The following is a 19,246-nucleotide window of genomic DNA, read 5'->3' on the forward strand; positions in this document are numbered from 1 at the left end:
CCCTCATTCCAAAGGGCAGCCTTTGGCCCTGGGCATGCCCTCATTGGCTCACAACACCTACAAACCATACAACATTTGGCATCAGGGTTGTATCTGTTGGTGGAGGACACAACGCCAAAAGGAAATGGGATTTCCTGGTTAGGCCTGCGGCTTGGCAGATGATTGTTATGGGAAAGACACTGAGTCTGTTTAGGCAATTTCTTCCTCTTTACTAATAAAGTGTTCCTATTTTGAAAGCAATGCTGAGTTGTGGACATGTGTATAAACCGTAATGCTGTAAGTTAGGCCTCTCTTGTCTAGAATCTCAGCCTCTTCATACTCTCTCCCCCTTTTTTGCCATATTATTTTCCTTATCACTAACTATATATTTTACCTGTCTCACTTACTATCTGTCTCTCCTCTCAGAGTGTTACTCCAGGAGGGCAGAGATAACTGTTTAGTCCAGGCTGTGCCTTCGGTGCTCAAAATAATGCCTGGGTGCAAAATAAATATATCTTGAATGAAATAATGAAGTAATCTTTAAAATGGTGCTCCGAGCATAATTTTCATATAGTAACACATAGTTTGCAATTAGTTGTCTCTTTCAGGGATAATGGAATTGTTCAACATAAGAAAATCAGGCCTGGGCACGGTGGCTCAGGCCTGTAATCCCAGCACTTTGGGAGGCTGAGGTGGGCAGATCATTTGAACCCAGGAGTTCAAGACTAACCTGGGCAACATGGCAAAAGCCTGTTTCTACAAAAAATACAAAATTAGCTGGGGGTGGTGGCGGGTCCCTTTGGTCCCAGCTACTTGGGAGGCTGAGGTGGGAGGATCACCTGAGCCTAAGAGGTTGAGGCTGCAGTGAGCTGTGATCATGCCAGTGCACTCCAGCCTGGGTCACAGAGTGAGACCTTGTTTCACCAAAAAAAAAAAAAAAAGGAAAATCAAACAATATAATATACCACATTTATAGAATGAAAGAAAAAAAATGAGATCTTCTCAATAGACACAGAAAAGGCATTTGACAAACTCTTAACCTTCTTTGATTATAAAAACACACAAAAACCTAGAAATAGAAGGAACTTCTTCAACAAGATAAAAGGCATGTCCTCGTCCAGCTGGGTGCCTCTAACAAAATACCATATACGAGGTGGCCTGTAAACAACAGAGGTTTATTTCTCATTGTTCTGGAGGTCGGAAGTCTGAGATCGGGGCACCACCAGATTCTGTGTCTGGTGGGGGCCTGTTTCCTGGTTCATAGATGGAACATTCTTGTTATATCTTCACATGGTGGAAGGGGCCAGCCAGCTCTCTGGGATCTCTTTTATAAGGACACTAATCCCATTTATGAGGGCTCCGCCCTCATGACCTAATCACCTCCTGAAGGCTCCACTTCCTAATATCCTCACATTGGTAATTAGGTTTCAACATGTGAGTTGTAGTGGGGCACAAACATTCAGTCTATAGCAGGGTATTTATGAAAAACCTACTAATACCATACTCAGTGGTGAAAGCTTTAAACCCTAAGACAAGGAACAAGAGAGGATACCCACTTTTACCAATGCTGTTCAACATTGTACTCCAGGTTCTAGCCAGAGCAACTAGACAAGAAAAAGAAATAAAAGGCATCCAATTGCAAAGAAAAGAATGAAAACTATCCCTGTTCAAAAATGACATGATCTTATGTATAGAGTATCTCCGAGATGCCACAAGAAAGCTACTAGAACAAATAGATGAATTCAGCAGAATTGCTGGGAACAACATCAACATGCAAAAATCAAGTGTGTTTCTATACATGTGCCATGAACAATCTGAAAAGGAAATTAACAAAGTCATTTCATTTAAATTAGCTCTAAAAGAATAAAATACCTAGAAGTAAATTTAACCCAGGAAGAAAGATTTGTACACTGAAAACAATACAAAATATTGCTGAAAGAAATTAAAGAATACCTAATTAAATGGAAAGACGTTCCATATTCATGGGTAAGAAGACTTAGTATAGCTAACACATAAATACTACCTAAAGCCATCTACAGATGCAATACAATCCCTATCAAAATTCTAACAGCCTTTCACTTTTGCAAAAGCTGATCTTAAGATTCATATAGAATTTCAAGGCACACCTTACAGCCAACACACTCTTGAGAAAGAACAAAGTCAGAGGACTCACACTTCCCAGTTTCAAAATTTACAAAAGTACTGTAATCAACACGGTGTGGCGTGGACTTCAGGATAGATGCATAGACCTATGAAGAGAACTGAGAGTCCGGACATCCACACAGCTATGGCTGGATGATTGGATGATTTTTGATAAGGGCTCCAAGTCCATTTAATGGGAAAGAATAGTCTTTTCAACAAATGATGCTGGGGCAACTGGGTTCCTGCATCAAAAGAAGGGAGTTGGACCCTATCTCATATCAGGTACAAAAATTAGCTTGAAATGTATCAACGACTTACATTTAAGAGCCAAGAGCATAAAATTCGTAGGAGAAAACATAGGGGTAAGTTTTCATGATGTTGGATATGGCAGTGGATTCTTAGCTATAACACCCAAAGTATGAACAACAAAAGAAAAAAAAACAGATAAATTTGACTTTATCAAAATGAAAGACTTGTGTGCATCCAAAGACATTATTAAGAGAGTAAAAAGACATCCTACAAAATGGGAGAAAATATTTGCAAGTCATTTATCTGATGAAGGCTTATTATTCAGAATATATAAAGGACTGCAAATCAAAACCCCAATGAGATACCATCCCACACCAGTCAGAATGGCGATCATTAAAAAGTCAGGAAACAACAGGTGCTGGAGAGGATGTGGAGAAATAGGAACACTTTTACACTGTTGGTGGGACTGTAAACTAGTTCAACCATTGTGGAAGTCAGTGTGGCGATTCCTCAAGGATCTAGAACTAGAAATACCATTTGACCCAGCAATCCCATTACTGGGTGTATACCCAAAGGAATATAAATCATGCTGCTATAAAGACACATGCACATGTATGTTTATTGCGGCACTATTCACAATAGCAAAGACTTAGAACCAACCCAAATGTCCAACAACGATAGACTGGATTAAGAAAATGTGGCACATATACACCATGGAATACTATACAGCCATAAAAAATGATGAGTTCATGTCCTTTGTAGGGACATGGATGAAGCTGGAAACCATCATTCTCAGCAAACTATTGCAAGGACAAAAAACCAAACACTGCATGTTCTCACTCATAGGTGGGAATTGAATAATGAGAAGACATGGACACAGGAAGGGGAACATCACACACCGGGGCCTGTTGTGGGGTGGGGGGAGGGGGGAGGGATAGCATTAGGAGATATACCTAATGTTAAATGACGAGTTAATGGGTGCAGCACACCAACATGGCACGTGTATACATATGTAACTAACCTGCACATTGTGCACATGTACCCTAAAACTTAAAGTATAATAATAATAAAAAAAGAACTACTAAAAGACTCAACAACAAAAGGACAAATAACCAAACACAAAAATGGGCAAAGGGCTTAAATAGACATTTATCCAAAGAAGATATGCAATGACCAATAAACAAATGAAAACATACCAAGTATTCTTAGTTATTTGAGAAAGGAAAATCAAAACCACAATGAGATACCACTTCACACCTACCAGAGGGGTTATGATTTTAAAAATCAGAAAATAACAAGCATTGGCAAAGATGTGGAGAAATTGGAACCCCTTTTTATTACTGATAGGAGTTTACAACGATGCAGCTACTATGGAAAACAGTTTGATGGTTTCTCTACAAGTTAAACATACAATTACCATATGATGCAACAATTCCACTCCCAGGTGTACAACCAAAATAATTGAAAACAAGGACCGGAACAGATATTTGTACCCACTGTTCATTACAGCATTATTCACAATGGCCAGAGAGTGGAAATAACTTACAAGTCTATCAACTGATGAAGAGATAAAAAATGTGGTATATACACGTGATGAAATATTACTCAGCCATAAAAAGGAATGAAGTTTGGATGAACCTTGGAAAACATTATGCTAAGTGGAATAAGCCAGTGACTAAAATATAAGATATGACAAATATATGATACTGCTTATATGAAATATCTAGCATACACAAGGTCAGAGAGACAGGAAGTGGATTAGAGGTTACCAGGAGCTTGGAGGAGGGAAGAATTGAGACTTTACTGCTTGATGGTTACAGAGTTTTGTGTTCAGGGAAGAGATTTGGAAATGGATGGTGGTGACAGTTGCACAACAGTGCAAATGTTAGTAACACCACTGAATTGTGTCTCAGTTACTGGGAGGCTGAAGAGGGAGGATTCTTTGAGCCAGGGATTTGGAGGCTGGCCTGGGCAACATAGTGAGACTCCATCTCTAAAAATAAATCTAATAATGATTAAAGTGGCAACATTTGTTATATATATTTTACTACAATAAAAAGTTAGAAAAAATCGTGGGACTATTTGGAGTGCAATTAACAACATTGAGTTTTATTTCTCCTTCTCCAGACTAACATCTAACAGGTCTGTGGATCAGAAATGATGGTGGAGCAGTTGCCCTTTGACATAGCGATAGACCGTGTGGAAATGGTATTCAGTAAGCCCTTGACATCCAAAGGGGTGCACATGCAGACCTTTGCAAATCTCCAATAGAGGGCTGCAGAAATGTTTGTAGAGTCTCTTGACTTTCTTCAGACTCATATTTTCATAGAGAAATAAGTGTTTCCTGCGTATTTTCTCACCTGCAAGTTTAATCTCTCATGAATGGTTGTGTTTCATGAGGAAATAAAGTTTTCAGCACTTTGGAAGTGTGTATAAGGATGGTTAGAAAATCATACTGTCAGGTTGAGATGTGGATTCTCATCCTTCCGCCGGCACCTCACCAACCCAGCACTTGGCCACCATCCTTGTGGCACGTAATTCATGTCTGCCACAGCAAAATAGCCAATGTCCTGGAGCCCTGAGCCCTGTGAGATGTGTAGGAAGTCACCCTGCCCCTGTCTGGCATCTAGTATGAGCTCTAGGCATGTTTGTTGATTGAGTTAGTGAGTCAGTCACTGTCAGTCAGAGGCACATGCTGGGATGTGTTGCGGGAAGTGGATCGCTGACCCTCTGGTCATGGCACTCCCGCCTTCCTGCTCTGGTATGGGCCTGGATGAGGGTGCAAGGGTGTCTGCTGGGGTCAGTTCTGCTTCCCCAGATCCCAGCCACCCTCCTCAGCCACACACAGCACTGACCTCACTCCCCATGCGCTGCCCTGCTCTCAACTTCCACTTCTCCCCAGTGTCTTGGGCAAGCAGAGTGCCCACAAAGACCCCTGTTAGGACGCAATGCCTAGCAGGGGTCTTTGTGGCCCTGGTAACCGCCCTCTCCCTCTCCACCGGCCACTGCAGCTGCATTCACCTCTCCACGCCCAGGCTGCCCTGGTGAAAAGAAGCTCGTTTGTAGACAAAGTGTGGGAGTGTCTTTACTGTGGGTGAAAGAGCAAACTTGGGGATCTCTTTGCAAAGTGCTGGAGATTGTTAATGATGTCATAATTAGTAGGCAGCACTCAAAGTGTTATGACATCATTAACCAGTGATTGTTGTACTCCGTGGCCTTTCTAACTGGCTTGTGATTGGGCCCCAAGGCTGCCTGGCCCTCCGTGAGACCATGTCTGAATAGATACCTGAGAGTTAGACCCATGCGCTGGGTCTGGCTGAGGCTGTGTGTAGATCACAGCAGCGTGAGCACTGGCTGTACCTTTGCCCTGTCCTGCTGCTCTCACTGTCTGCTGTGTCGGGACACTGAGCAGAAGTGGCGGTGGAATGCACACAGCACAGCGTGTCACAGTGCGCATGGGCTCCCCACTGGAAGGGATGTAGCATTGTTTTTCTTTCGTAATGGAGAGAAGAGGGGAAGAAAAGGCCCAGGCACTGGTTCTCCAACTCTTGTACATCCGGTCACTGTCCTGAGATTCAGAAGGTCTGGGGTGTTCTGAGAATTTGCATTTCTGACAAGTTTGCAGAGAGTAATGCTGATGCTGCTGGTTCAGGGACCCACTCGGAGAGTCAGTGGCCTGGAGCACTGGAGGGCTCCGTGGAGCTGGGGAGGGTGGAGGGATGACGGCCTCGGGATGGCACAAGGAGGTGCCGGGTGAAGAGGAGGTGCCGGAGGCAGGATGGAGCAGCTCACAGTGGTACCTGGGATGGCCCCGTGGCTTCTGCCAAGCCAAATTCTCCTGTTTCATAAGAATTGCTCACCGGTGAGACTCCATTTTTCTTGAAGAACAGTGTTGTTTGTTTTATTTTATTTTCTTTCAGGCATATATAGAATCTTTGGCACTATAAAAAGCATTTACCGCATAATTAATATCTAATTGTTCCCAGAGAAGACACAATCTTATAAGGGGAAGTCATGGGAAGAAGGAAGCTCTGGTCATAAAAACACGATTTCCACCTTCTGTGCAGAGAAACTGCACTCTTAATTGTAGGCAGAAGGGTTTCGTTTGGGTGACTTCATCTTCACCACTGGAAGACGCTGCCCACCTCCCAGCCAACCCCCTCCCCAGACCGAGGGTGGACGGGCCTGGCCGTCAGGGAAGGCCTCGCATTGTGCCATCCAGCCGGGGCTTGGCCATGGCCAGTCTGAGGCAGTGTGGGCTCCTGCGCCTGTTGTCTTTGAAGTCCCTGCAACCAGATCAGCTCTCTGCTCTCTGAGATCCCAGGGCTGTCGAGCTCATTGAAGCCTGCAAATGGGACAGCACTGGCCTTCCTCCTTTTCATTCAGCCACTGGACGGGGCTGGCCCACGAGCCAGCAGATAAAAGAAGTCATTTAAGCTTTGATTTCAGATAAAAGACTTGAGGTTCATGAAATGCTCCAGCATAACAGTGCAGCTTCTGTTCTGTGCTGCAAAACACATTAGAATACAAACAAAGGGGCTGCTCCGTGGAGCCTGCAGGATCCCGACCCTGTCCAGGCTGGGTGCCAGGTCTGAGGGTTTGGGCGTCCTCTCCGCCAATGAGAAATCCACCTGGCGGCCTCCTCTGTCCTGTTCACCCACCCACTCCCATCCACTCTGTCTTCTTACCTTAATTTGCACCTACTTGGCCTTAATGTTGGCAGAAAGGTTACGGAGAGACAGTTTAAGGTCAAGTGCAATAAAATGATTTCATTTACACATCACAGAGGTCCCTGGTTAATACACTGCAGAATGTTCTATTCTCATGAATAATCTTGCTTCACAAACATACTCCTTGTTTGTTTTCACTGGGTAGAAAGGGACAGGTTTCATAGTTAACAGCGAGCACATCTGAGCAAACACGTACCTCTTTTTCTTGAGTAATGTGTAGAGAACATTTTGTGGTAGTGTTTATGTCTGTCTTTTGCAAACGTTAGAAGATAGTGTTAATTCTTTACTCATCATCTCAGTATGTCATTATCATTCTCTGAACAGCATTTGTTTGTAGAAGTCAACATTAATTAATCTTCTCAACTGAAATGAAAATACTTTATGGGAATACACTGAGAACCCCCCGCCCCCGCCTGCCAGCACATCAGATGGATTGAAGCATTTGAAGGCAGAATATAGTTCACAGAAAAAGCAAACCTAATTATAACCTAAAGATCATACATCAGGTGAGTTATGTTCATTTCAAAACAGAGACATTAAAAATGTGTCTTCTTCTTGCCCAGGCAAAAATCCCACAAGGGTAAGAAAGAGCACGTGGCCTGGATTCTTCATCCCATCTCCAGCTTCTCTAGTTGTTTATTGTAGGCATTTATCCCATAGTCTAGGTGTTTCTGCATGAAAATCATATCACAGCCAGACAGATTCAAAAACCTAGTGGGGGCTGGGCACTGTGGCTCATGCCTGTAATCCCAGCACTTTGGGAAGCTGAGGCAGGATGATAGCTTAAGGCCAGGAGTTTGAGTCTCTACAAAAAGTAAAAATTAGCTGGGTGTAGTGATGCATCTGCAGTAGTCCCAGCTACTCAGGAGGCTGAGGTGGGAGGCTTGCTTGAGCCCAGTTGGAGGCTGCAGTGAGCTATGATCGTGTCACTACACTCCAGTCTGGGCAGCACAGTAAGATCCCATCTCATATATATATATATATATATATATATATATATATATATATATAACGTTTACATTTTATATATATTTATAATATACATATTATACAGGGGCGGGGCTTATACACCAGATCCAAATTCAAACACTTTCTTTTTGAGAGACGCAACCTCAGGCCCCAAAGTGAAGTTCCTGAGAGCCTGTGGCATTTGTCTCTGATCCAGGAACCACCTTAACCCCAGACAAATAGGACCCATGCTCTTGCTGATGTGGTTTGGCTCTGTGTCCCACCAGATCTGTTGCTGAATTGTAATCCTCAGCATTGAAAGTGGAGTCTGGTAGGAGGTGGTTGGACCATGGGGGTGGTTTCTTGTGAATGACTTAGCACCATCTGTTTGGTGCTGTTGTCGTGGTAGTGAGTTCTCATGAGGTTCGGTTGTTTGAAAGTGTGCAGAACCCGCCTCGTGCTCTTTCTCTCCTGCATTAGCCATTAAGATGTGCTTGCTCCCCCTTTGCCTTCGCCATGATTGGAAGCTTCCTGAGGCTTCCCCAGAGGCAGAAGCCACTATGCTTCCTGTACAGGCCCCTGCAGAACTGTGAGCCAGTTAAACCTCTTTTTTAATATAAATTACCCAGTTTCAGGTATTTTTGATAGCAGTGTAAGAACAGACTAATACAGCCGCTAAGCCGTGAGGAATCCTCAACCAGCCCAGCCCCTGCAGCCCTTGGGCTGCACATTTCCTAGGTCAGCCTGCAAAAACCCTGAGTCAGACATATCCATCCCAACCTCAGGAGTTAGACACGTGTCAGATTCAAATGGAAGCAACATTGGGAAGCGGCTTCCAGCCCACTGGGTGCAGATCCAAGCCATTGCTCCCTCCATGCAGGACAGAAAGTGATGGTGTGGCCAGTGCAGCAGTCCTGATACCCCAGTGAGGACTTCGGGGCCAGGTGGGTCTTGCTCCCTTCCTCCTGGACCCAGAGGATGGTCTGCAGGGGAGCAGAGGAACTGGGATGGAAGTGAAGCCAGTGCCTGGCCAGAGGGAGAGGGGCCACAGGTGCAGATCATGAGAGTGTCTGGAGACTCCAGAAGTAGAGTTGATTCTACCCCACACCTACCTGGCACCTTGTCTCAAAGACAACAACAACAAACAACAAAAGGTCTTTGTCTCCCGAGGTTAGGATGGCTATGTCTGACTCGGGATTTTTGGGTGGCAGTTAGAGAGGACTCAGGCTGACCCAGGAAATGTGCGGCCCAGGGGCTACAGGTGCTGGGGTTGGTGGAGGATTCCTCATGGTTTAGCATGAGCTGAGTCCTGCTTATCTGGGGTTAAGATGGTTTATGGGTCATAGACAAATGCCATGGGCTCCCAGGAGCCACAGTTTGGGGCCTGAGGGTGCTTGCCCTGGGTCTGGGGTGGCTCCTCTTGATTGCTGGGAAGCACCCAAAGAAGCCTTAGTCACATCCAGTGTTGACGTGACTCCAGAGGGAAGTGGAGCAGACAGGAGCCTCAAGGGTGCAAACGTTAAGTTTGCTGTTTTCAGTCTGTGCTTGGCACTTTCCTCACTAGATCTTTTTCACTTAGGTTAAACAATTCTTTCTCCCAGTATGAGGAATGCCAGATTCACAGTGGTGGCTCTGTTTTTTGTTTTGTTTTAAGAGATGTCTCACTCTGTGGCCCGGAGACAACAGGATCCCTGGAGCCCAGGAGCTCAAGGCTGGTTCACTGCAGCTTTGATCTCCTAGGCTCCAGGAATCCTTGTGGCTCAGCCTCCAGAGTAGCTGGGACTCTGGTGCTCGCCACCACACCCCGCTGATTTTTTTTTTTTTTTTTTTGTAAAGACAGGTTCTTGCTGTGTTGGCCAGGCTGGTCTTAAGCAGTCCTCCTGCCTCAGCCTCCTAAAGTGCTGGGATTACCGGCATGAGCCACTGGGCCCTGCCTGGCTGTTCTGTTTTGTATCAATTAATGCAGTGTGTTTTGTGGCCAATGTCCTGGGTGTCTTTGTAGCTTATGGTGCACACGGACTCCCATTACCCTAAAACACAAGAAATCTTGTGAACAGCCAACAAGACCTGGCCTCTTCCCTCCAGAATTCACAGCCTCATCAGGAGTACATATGAAACAGCTAGCTCACAATAAGCAGCCGTGCATGACTCCATGCTAAACTGTGTGGTGCAAATAATAAAAGACACAGTCATCAAAGGAGTCAAGGACAATGGTGTAGAAAGGTGGGGTATGACTGTGCTTCTGACTCTAAGGAAGAAGAAAGGACATTGCAGAGGAACGAAAGAATTTGAGCAAAGGGATGGAGGAGGAAATGGAAATGGTCTGATCACAGGTGCCCAGGAGATCGGCCTCATTGGAACAGGGTGTTTGTCAGGGGAACGGGAGGTCAGCCTCATTAGAATGGGGTGTTTGTCAGGGGAATCTGAGATATAGTTTGGATTAATCCGGGGGGACCAGACTGAAGGGTCTGTAAATCTGTAACAGATTTAAAACTCGGTATGTTGGCACATGGATGCCTTAAGTGCCTGTGGCTTCCTTATGGAAGGGGCTCTGCTTTGTGGGTGAGAGGTGGCAAAGTCACGTTCAGGGGTCACATCTGGTCCAGACGCATGTTTAACTTGGTGTGTACACCTCACTGTTTTAAAAATGAAGTCCTCAGTGTTTAAAAATTAGAAGTAAATTGCCAACATTAAGACTGAATTAGGAGACTTCATGTTGAAAACCCAGCCTGGGCCGGTGGCCCACATCTGTAATCCCAGCACTTTGGGAGGCTGAGGCAGGAGGATCGCTTGAGTCCAGGAGTTTGAGACCAGCCTGGGCAATGTAGCAAGACCCCACCTCTAAAAAAAGTTAAGAATTAGCCTGGCATGGTGGTGTGCACCTGTAGTTCCAGCTGCTCAGGAGGCTGAGGTGGGAGGATCCCTTGAGCCCAGGAGATCTAGGCGGCAGTGAGCTATGATTACACCACTGTACTCCAGCCTGGGCAACAGAGCAAGAACCTGTCTCAAAAAAAAAAAAAATCCAGTCATATTTCTTGCAAAAAATGGGAAGATGCAGTAGCAGGTGGGCCACGTGTCCCCTGTCCCTAGGCCCTCTCTGTCTCCTCCACACAGAGGCCAAGAGCCTCTGCAGGATCTTGAGGCCCATGATGTTGTTTGCTCACAGCCCACTTCACTCACTGTGGGACCTGCTTGGTGCCTGGTGAGGACTGTTCCTGCCCCTAGATGTGGTCTCCAGCAGATATTTGCTTCAGCTTATATTTTTGGACAAAGGAATGGAGTGACATGGATAATATTTAAATTGGAATGGACTATGCCTTTTATCTGAAAAAGTTCTCTAATTATATTTTTCTTATCCTTTTTGATGTCTCAAGAAAACTCACTAAGATCCGTTTATACAAACATGTTTGAATTTGACCTCACAATGGACTAGGCTTTGTAGGAGACTGAACTCATGGTAATGAATATTAGTAATTTTGGTGGAATTTTTCTGTGGTAAAGAATGAAACAAGGAATACCAGGAGGATTGGGCCCTAATTTTCCCCAGAGGGGTCCTTCTTTTAGGCCTCACTTTATCTTCTAGCAAGACAGCTGTGGTGTTAGACTTCTGCTCCTTGGCCTAAAAAAAGCTGGGGCCCCGACCTTCCTGGGCATGGGCGTTTGTTGATGGAACCATGGTCAGAAGAACAAGGAAGGAGGTCCATGAGGTGGGAAATGCACGCTCACCCGAGAAAGCATCCAGCAGCAGGTCCTCTGTGGCCACCCAGCTGCCTCCATGACCCATGAGAAACAGTAGCAGAATGCTTCTAGAAGAGCCCTCCCACCTGCCTCTATCAGGCGGGATACTTGTCATGCATTTCTCTTCAGTACTGGCAGAAGCCCAAGCGGAGAAAACCTGACTCTGTGCAGGCAGCATGGCTTGGATGTTGATCTTTGGAAACAAAGAGGAGGCTTTCAAAGGCTGAGGGGAGAGCTCAGGTCATGGGATTATGGAAAGGCAATTAGAGGTGTTTTCTAGACCAAGCCCCTCTTTTCATAGCTGAGAAAACTACAGTTTGGAGAGCAAAGAAGTGAGCCCAGGGGATATCTAAGTGCTTAAGTGACCCCGCACCTCTCGCTCCTTTTGATGAGCCATGTTCGCATTTTGGAAGGAGAAAGGGGGTGCAGAAGAGGCGTCTGATGCAGGCCCTGCTGACAGGCAGTCAAGGGCATCCCTCAAGTCGATGTAGTCAAGGGCCAGAGCTGCAGGAAAAATCCAGCAGGCACATCTCACTGGTTAGGGGAAACTGGCGGCTTTTCCGTGGTCCCGGGCTCGGATAATGCATCTCAGATCAACGAAGGATACCAAAGGCAGGTGCTTTTTACTCATCTGCTCCCACTGACTCCTTCGTCCCCCTCCTTCCTGCTTCGGACCTACTTCTGATACAGTGAGGGAGAAAGACAAGAGTGGCAAGACAGTGTATTTTCTCTGGAACATAGTCCATCCTCCCCTCCTCACGGTCTCTGCCTGAGCTCAGAGCCCCATCTGCTTTCCCCCAGACCCTCTTGACTCGGGGTTGTCTGAGAGCCTGCAGCATTGGCATCACCTGGGGCTTGTTGGACATGCTGACTCTTGGATTCCACCCAGGCCTGCTGTAGCATATCTTCTACTGTAACGGAATCGCCAGGTGATGAATATACACATCCAAGTGTTGGTGTGCTGCCCTAGAAGGTCAGGATTAACAGTTGGTATTTTCCCGTTGTCCCAAGCACCTATTCTCCTTTAATCCATTCTGAACATCAACTGGGTTCTAGTTTGAAAACAAAATTCAGCTGTGTCTGTTCTTTGCCTAAAATCCTTGCTTGGCTTCACATTGCTTTTTTCCTATATATCAACAATAAACAAGTGGAATTTGAAATTTAAAGCACAAAACCATTTATAATAGCATGCAAGAAATTAAATACTTAGGTAAATCTAACAAAATATGCATGAGATTTATATGAGGAAAACGACAAAACTGATTAAAGAAGTCAAAGAAGTCAATGGAGAAATATTCCAAGTTCATGGATAGGAAGACTTAATATAGTCAAGATGCCGGTTCTTCCCAAATTCATAAATGGATTCAATGCACTCCTCATAAAAATCCCAGTGAGTTGTTTTTTGGATACGGAAAAACTGATTCTAAAGTTTATATGGAAAGGGAGACTGCCTGGAGTAGCCAACACAGTACTGAAGGGCAAGAGCAAAGGAGGAGAAATGACGCTGCCTGCCTTAAAGACTTACCATAAAGCTACAGGCATCAAGATAGGTTGGCAAAAGAACAGACAGATGGATCAGTTGACAGAGCAGACAGCCCAGAAGCAGATCCACATAAAAATATGGCCTATGAATCTTGACAAAGAAGTAAAGGTAATACGGTGGAGGCAAGATTATCTTTTCAACAAATGGTACTGAAACAGCTGGCTCTCCACATGCACACACAAAAAATTGAATCTAAACATAGACCTTACACTTTTCACAAAAATTAATTCAAAATAGATCACAGGCTTAAATATGAGACATAAAACTTAAAACTCCTAGAAGATAACATAGGAGAAAATCTAGATGACCTCAGGTTTGATGGTGATGTTTTAGATATAATACAAAAGGCATGGGGCATGAAAAAAATAATTGAGAAGCTGCACTTCATTAAAATTAAACATTTCTGCCCTGTGAAAGACACTTTTAAGTCATTGAAAAGAGGGCTGGGTGCAGTGGCCGACATCTGTAATCCCAGCACTTTGGGAGGCCAAGACAGGCGAATCACCTGTTGTCAGGGGTTGGAGACCAGCCTGGCCAACATGGCATAACCCCATCTCTACTAAAAATACAAAAATTAGCTGGACATGGTGGTGGGTGCCTGTAATCCCAGCTACTTGGGAGGCTGAGGCAGGAGAATCGCTTGAACCCGGGAGGCGGAGGCTGCAGCAAGCTGAGATCGCACCATGGCACTCCAGCCTGGGCAACAGAGTGAGACTCCATCTAAAAAAAGAAAGAAAAGAAAAGAAAAGAAAAGCCACAGACTAGAGGAAAATATTTACAGAGACAATCTGATAATGGACCAAACTATACGAAGAACTCTTAAAACTCAACAGTAAGAAAAAAGAAAAAAACCTGATTAAAAAATTGGCCAAAAATTTTAATAGACACCTCACCAAAGAAAATATGCAGATGGAAAATAAGCATATGAAAAGATGCTCCACACCATATGTTATCAGGGAAATGCAAATTAAATAATGAGATCCCACTGTATACCTCTTAGAATGGCCCCAATCCAGAATACTGACAACACCAAGTGCTGGGGAGGATGTGGAGCCACCGGAACTCTCATCTATGGCGGGGGGCAGCCACATTGGAAACAGTTTGACGGTGTCTTTCAAAACTCAGCATAATCTTACCATATGATCCAACAATTGTGCTCCTCGGTATTTACACAGAGGAATTGAAACATTATGTCCACACAGAAACCTTCACATGGAAGTTTATAGCAGCTTTATTCATCATGGCTAAATCTTGGAAGCAACCCAGATGTCCTTCAGTAGGAGAATGGATAACTAAACTGTGGTACATCCAGACAATGAAGTATATTCAGCACTAAAAAGAAATGTGCTTTTTCTTTTCAAGCTATGAAAAGACATGGAGGAAACTTAAATACCTGTGACTAAGTGAAAGAAGCCAGTCTGAAAGCTACGTACAGTGTGAGTCCAACTGTGTGACATTCTGGAATAGGCAAAACTGTAGAGATAGTAAGAAGATCATTGCCAGGGTAGCGGGGAGGGAGGGACGATTAGGAGGAGCACAAAGGATTTTTAGGGCCGTGAGCCTATTCTGTATGGTACTGTAGCAGTAGATCCATGGCAAAATACATTTGTCCAGACCTGTGAGAATGTACAAGAGTGAACCCTAACGAAGGCCACAGACTCTGGGTGATGAAGGAGTGGTGGTGTCCGTCCATCAAGCGTAATGATGCGCCACTCTGTGTGGGATGTGATCATGTGGGAGGCTGTGCGTGTGTTGGGGGTGGGAGGCAGAGAGCACGTGAGAAATCTCTGCATGTTCCTCTCCAATTTTGCTGTGAACCTAAAACTTCTCTAAAAATTAAGTCATAAATTCTGACTGGAGCTTCATTAAGTGGAAGAATGCTTTTAAAGTTAGATTTGGGTCATGATGACAAATGTTAGAAATAAGTGACCTGGAGTAGGAAGTGGAAGGTCATCCAGCCTCACAGACACCCATGACTCCCAGTGAAAACCCACGTCCTGGCTGTCAGCCGTGTCAGCCAGAGCCTTGACTAGTGTGTCAGCATCTAAGAAACATATAACATTGACCTAAGCAAAAGTCCAGCATTCTGGCCTGATCGTTGTCTTCCTGGGAACTCTGGTGTGGGAGCTGTGGATGCACATGTCCTAGGGACGGACATGGGGTGGGGCAGACATGCATGCCAGACAGACAGACACGCCAGTGTGGGCTGCACAATGGCTGAGCCTGACCTGGAAGCTGAGAGCAGTTTGGAACATGTGTGGCTGTCCTCCCGTCATCTTCTGCCCTATCAGAAGATGGGCAAATTCTTCTGCCCTGTTGAGAGTGAACACCCTGCTTTGAGAGGTTGCCTAGCTGGGGAAGCGGGGACAGGACACGTGTCTGGAAGAGGACAGAGTCTTGAGGCAGACACTTCCCTCTCCTGTGCCTCAGCTCTCACCTTGATGCTCCAACTTTGTGGATGGCTTCCTCTGGACAGAAGGGGTGATTCAGGTTCAAAGCCTGAGAAGCGGGGGCACGTGTAGACGCTGACTGTGGCTTGACGCTGACTGCTGTCAGCAACATGATTTCTGAGGCATGTGCTGTGACACGGTTGTGCATGGCCCCGTCTGCTGGGAAGACTTCTGGTGGCCCTCGAGCTGTGACCACCACCCAAGACTGGGCCCCTGTTGTCACTGTTCCTGTCCCCCAGTCTCCACCCCCTCCCCACCGCACGCACCTCTTCTGGGGCAGCAGTGTTCTCTCGCTGGACACCATGGCTCATGTATTCATTCATTCAACAGGCGTTTATCAAGTGCCTGCTCTTAGGCAGGGTCCTGAGCTGGGCCTGAGGCTCTGAAGGGATCCAGGCAGGGCAGCCATGTTCTGTTCTCCATGAGCCCCTCTAGGAAGGGAGGATGGTTAGATTCATCATTATGGGAGTGTCTTGGACAGAAGGCTTCAACTTAGAAAAGATCTCCTGGAGGAAATGACAGAGCGTGAGAGGTGAGTGGAGTTTGCTGGGCAGGAGGGGGAAGGCAGAAGGCTCACAGGGCAGGAGGGCAGAGGGCGGAGCAGGGCTGGAGTGGGGCTGGGGGAGACAGAGTGACTGAAGTGACAGGACTGGAGGGCCTGCAGGGGCAGTGAGGAGCTCTCCAGACTGAGGAGGGAGAGTGAGCGTCTCTGTGGCCGAGGTGGACAGTGGGGAGGCAAGCAGGGACAGGAAGGCCAACGCTGCCTTCCAGGAAGGAGACCCAGTGGGGAAGCCTGGCCTGTAGTGAGGGCTGGGGGCCTGCAGAGAAGGGCAGTGCCTGGGGGCATATCAGGTGGAGAACCAGTGCCAAACTCACACCCCTGGGGACGGTTGCCTCTGAACCCGCTGCCCACCTCACCCCCGACTTTCAGATCCTTCTGCACACACTTCCTCTGCCAGGGACAGGACAGGAGCGCAGGCAGCTGCATAAAAAGGAGGCCCTGCAGACCACGCCATGTGCTTATTCTGTGCAAACCCCACCGTCCCACCTTCCCCACAGCTGACTCCCATGAGCGTGAGCACACGGAAGCTCTGTATTGGCAAAAAACACTCAGCTGAGCAATGAGACAGGGTGATTTATTTACAAGCATTTGAGTATTTCAGTTCCCCCCATCACCACTCAGAAACAAAAGTGAAAATTGAGGCCAATTGCATGGGAAGGAGCACAGCATGCCTGAGAGGGCCGGGTCAGAGCTGTCCCATGGGGACTGCAGGGGCCGCCTCTCTGAGCCCCATCAGTCTGTGTGGAGAGGGACCCCTCAATGAGGAGATGAGTGGACTCAAGAGCAGACAATGGACTGGGACTAAGTTCCTATGGGCCCTGGGGGAGGTAGTGACAAGTTATGGGAAGGTGAGGGGTGGAAGTGCACTGTGAACAAAGGTTGTCTAATTATGCAGATTAAGTCTCTCAGGTAACAGCCCTTTAGTTGAAAGAATAGGTGAAGTCTGTCCTGGGCATGGAGACTTTGAGTTTTCTCTCCTATGTTAAGAGTTAATTTTCTGTGATTAATATAAATCCTAGGGAGGGGAGTCTAAGACAAATGCATTCCTTCCAGAGGAACTTCCCTAGGTCAGATGAGGGACCTTCAGAGAGAGCCCACCCCCATGCTTCAGAAGGGAAAGAGGGCAAGGAAGCAAGGTGGAGAGAGGCCTTGGTTCTGAGCTTATTTCTGAGGCCTTTCAATCTCCATTGTTCAAAGCAGTCAGCATGCCAGAGCACCATATCTTGGGGTGTTGTTTTCTGAGCGCATGTTTTCAGGACAGGTTTTATCCCTGGTCTCAAACCCATCTCTCCACAGAGAGAATATATTGAGCCCCAGTCCTTTTGGCTCAGCATCTAGCCAGACCTGCCACAACACGGCTCTGTAGTTACTGAGTTTCTCACTGTGTTCTTGGGCTCTCAGCTTTAACTGGTGTGCTGAGAACTGAGTTCTCTTCCTTGAAGCTCCCATCTCCAAGTCTAGTCCTCGATCTTTGCTGTGGAAACCTTTGTGAAACACTTGTGCTGCCCCTGCCTGGACAGACCCCTGGACCCGGGGGTCATGTCAGGCATCACGCAGCAGTGTGGCTGCCTGTCTGCTGTGCTAAGAACCCTGAGCCTTCAGCCAGCATGGTGGGTGGGAGCCCTGGGGTTGGTCACATCTATCCTGAGTGGGGCTGAGGCATGTGGGTGCTGTGCCTCTCTTCCAGGCTTCTGGCCCCTAGTCGGCAAGCTAGGATGTGTTTGCCGGATGCTTACCAAACGCCAGATACTGTGCGTGTTGTATCATTTAATCTTCCCCATCTCTGTGAGGGTAGACGTTATCTCCACTTTGCAGATCAGAAAAGTGGGACTCAGAGAAATGAGACCCTTTCCCAAGCAGCTCAGACAGGAAGGTGTTGTGGGCAGGTCTTCCCAGGTCTTACCCAGCAGTACTCACTAGCGCTCCGTCTGTTCTGAGCCCCTCCTTCCTGGTCCTATGAAGGTCTCTCTCCTCTCAGTAGCAGGCCCCACATTCAGCTCACTTGCTCTGTCTCCTGCCATCTGCTTCACAGCTCAAGACCCCTGGGCCCCCTGCTTAGCTTAACCCTGGTCTGTCCCTTTCTGACTTGGCCCGTGAGATGTCTATGTTCTCTTTCCCTCCATCCAGGGAAGGAGCAAAAGCCCCTTGCCATCCCTGTGTGACAGCAATGAGGTGAACCCAGGGGCCGAAGCCCACCCAGGGAGTTGATGGTAAGACTCACCTTCGTTTTCCTTCCCCTCCTCAGAAGTGTGGCTCCTTCCTCTGCATTCGCTGGGTGATGCTGGGGTCTGTAGGCTGAGAGGAGCAGGAGATCCAGTGGCAAGGAAGACGAAAACACAGAGCAGGCCAGGCACGTATTTTTGGATTAGTTTTAGAGAACAAGTTCTAAGCTGTGCTTTTTATGTTGCCTTTAGAAAATGTTAAAATACTTTCTAGGCTGGGTGCAGTGGCTTGCGCCTGAGGCAGACGGGTCACTTAAGCCCAGGAGTTTGAGACCATCCTGAGTAACATATGGGGAGACCCTGTCTCTACAAAAAGTAAAAAAATAAAAAAATTAGCTGGGTTCGGTGGTGTGCCAGCTACTCCGAGCTACTTGGGAGGCTGAAGTGGGAGCCTCTGTTGCTGGAGCATCGAGGCTGCAGTGAGGTCATGGCTGCAGTGAGCCATGATCACACCACTGCACTCCAGCCTGGGTGACAGTGAAACCCTGTCTCAAAAAACAAGACCAACGAATCACTTTCTATCTCACTATCTGTATTCTTACAGAAATTTTCTTCTGTAGGAATTAAAAAGATCTGACTCCCCCTGCCCCCACCTGGAGAGACAGGCACTAATGCACATATCTGACCCAGTGCCAGTATCTTCCTTGATTTTTCAAATGGGTGTCAGTAAATGTGAATCGATT

At 46.6% G+C, this 19,246-nt stretch overlaps 1 protein-coding gene and 1 long non-coding RNA gene across 49 annotated transcripts in view, besides 2 other annotated features; one reads left to right on the forward strand and one right to left on the reverse strand.

The window, feature by feature from the left end:
- Positions 1–19,246, forward strand: part of LDLRAD4 (low density lipoprotein receptor class A domain containing 4) — a 435,073-nt gene that overhangs the window by 247,887 nt on the left and 167,940 nt on the right. For 3 of the 48 annotated variants that reach the window (XM_047437791.1, XM_017025970.2, XM_047437792.1), the window contains one exon: positions 18,469–18,551. The exons of 43 other annotated variants lie outside the window; for them this stretch is intronic. The gene's annotated coding sequence lies outside the window, so the exon portion shown is untranslated. Of the gene's footprint in view, positions 1–6,069; positions 7,607–14,691; positions 16,312–18,468; positions 18,552–19,246 lie in introns of those variants that run through there. 2 more of the 48 variants (XM_047437789.1, XM_017025969.2) reach the window with 2 other exon arrangements.
- LDLRAD4-AS3 (LDLRAD4 antisense RNA 3) lies at positions 4,459–5,450 on the reverse strand. Its single transcript, XR_007066301.1, has 2 exons — positions 5,226–5,450; positions 4,459–4,730 (listed from the first exon to the last, which is right to left on the reverse strand). It is a non-coding gene; the product is annotated as an LDLRAD4 antisense RNA 3 (long non-coding RNA).
- Positions 8,456–8,957: an enhancer, noted in NCBI's record as "H3K4me1 hESC enhancer chr18:13474023-13474524 (GRCh37/hg19 assembly coordinates)". NCBI's record gives its function as "activates a minimal SCP1, AML or CMV promoter by ChIP-STARR-seq in naive H9 embryonic stem cells {active_cell/tissue: H9 hESC(naive)}" and the evidence as "EXISTENCE:reporter gene assay evidence [ECO:0000049][PMID:30033119]".
- Positions 8,958–9,457: an enhancer, noted in NCBI's record as "H3K4me1 hESC enhancer chr18:13474525-13475024 (GRCh37/hg19 assembly coordinates)". NCBI's record gives its function as "activates a minimal SCP1, AML or CMV promoter by ChIP-STARR-seq in naive H9 embryonic stem cells {active_cell/tissue: H9 hESC(naive)}" and the evidence as "EXISTENCE:reporter gene assay evidence [ECO:0000049][PMID:30033119]".

This window comes from Homo sapiens, chromosome 18, assembly GCF_000001405.40.
Source record: "Homo sapiens chromosome 18, GRCh38.p14 Primary Assembly".
NCBI lineage: Eukaryota > Metazoa > Chordata > Mammalia > Primates > Hominidae > Homo > Homo sapiens.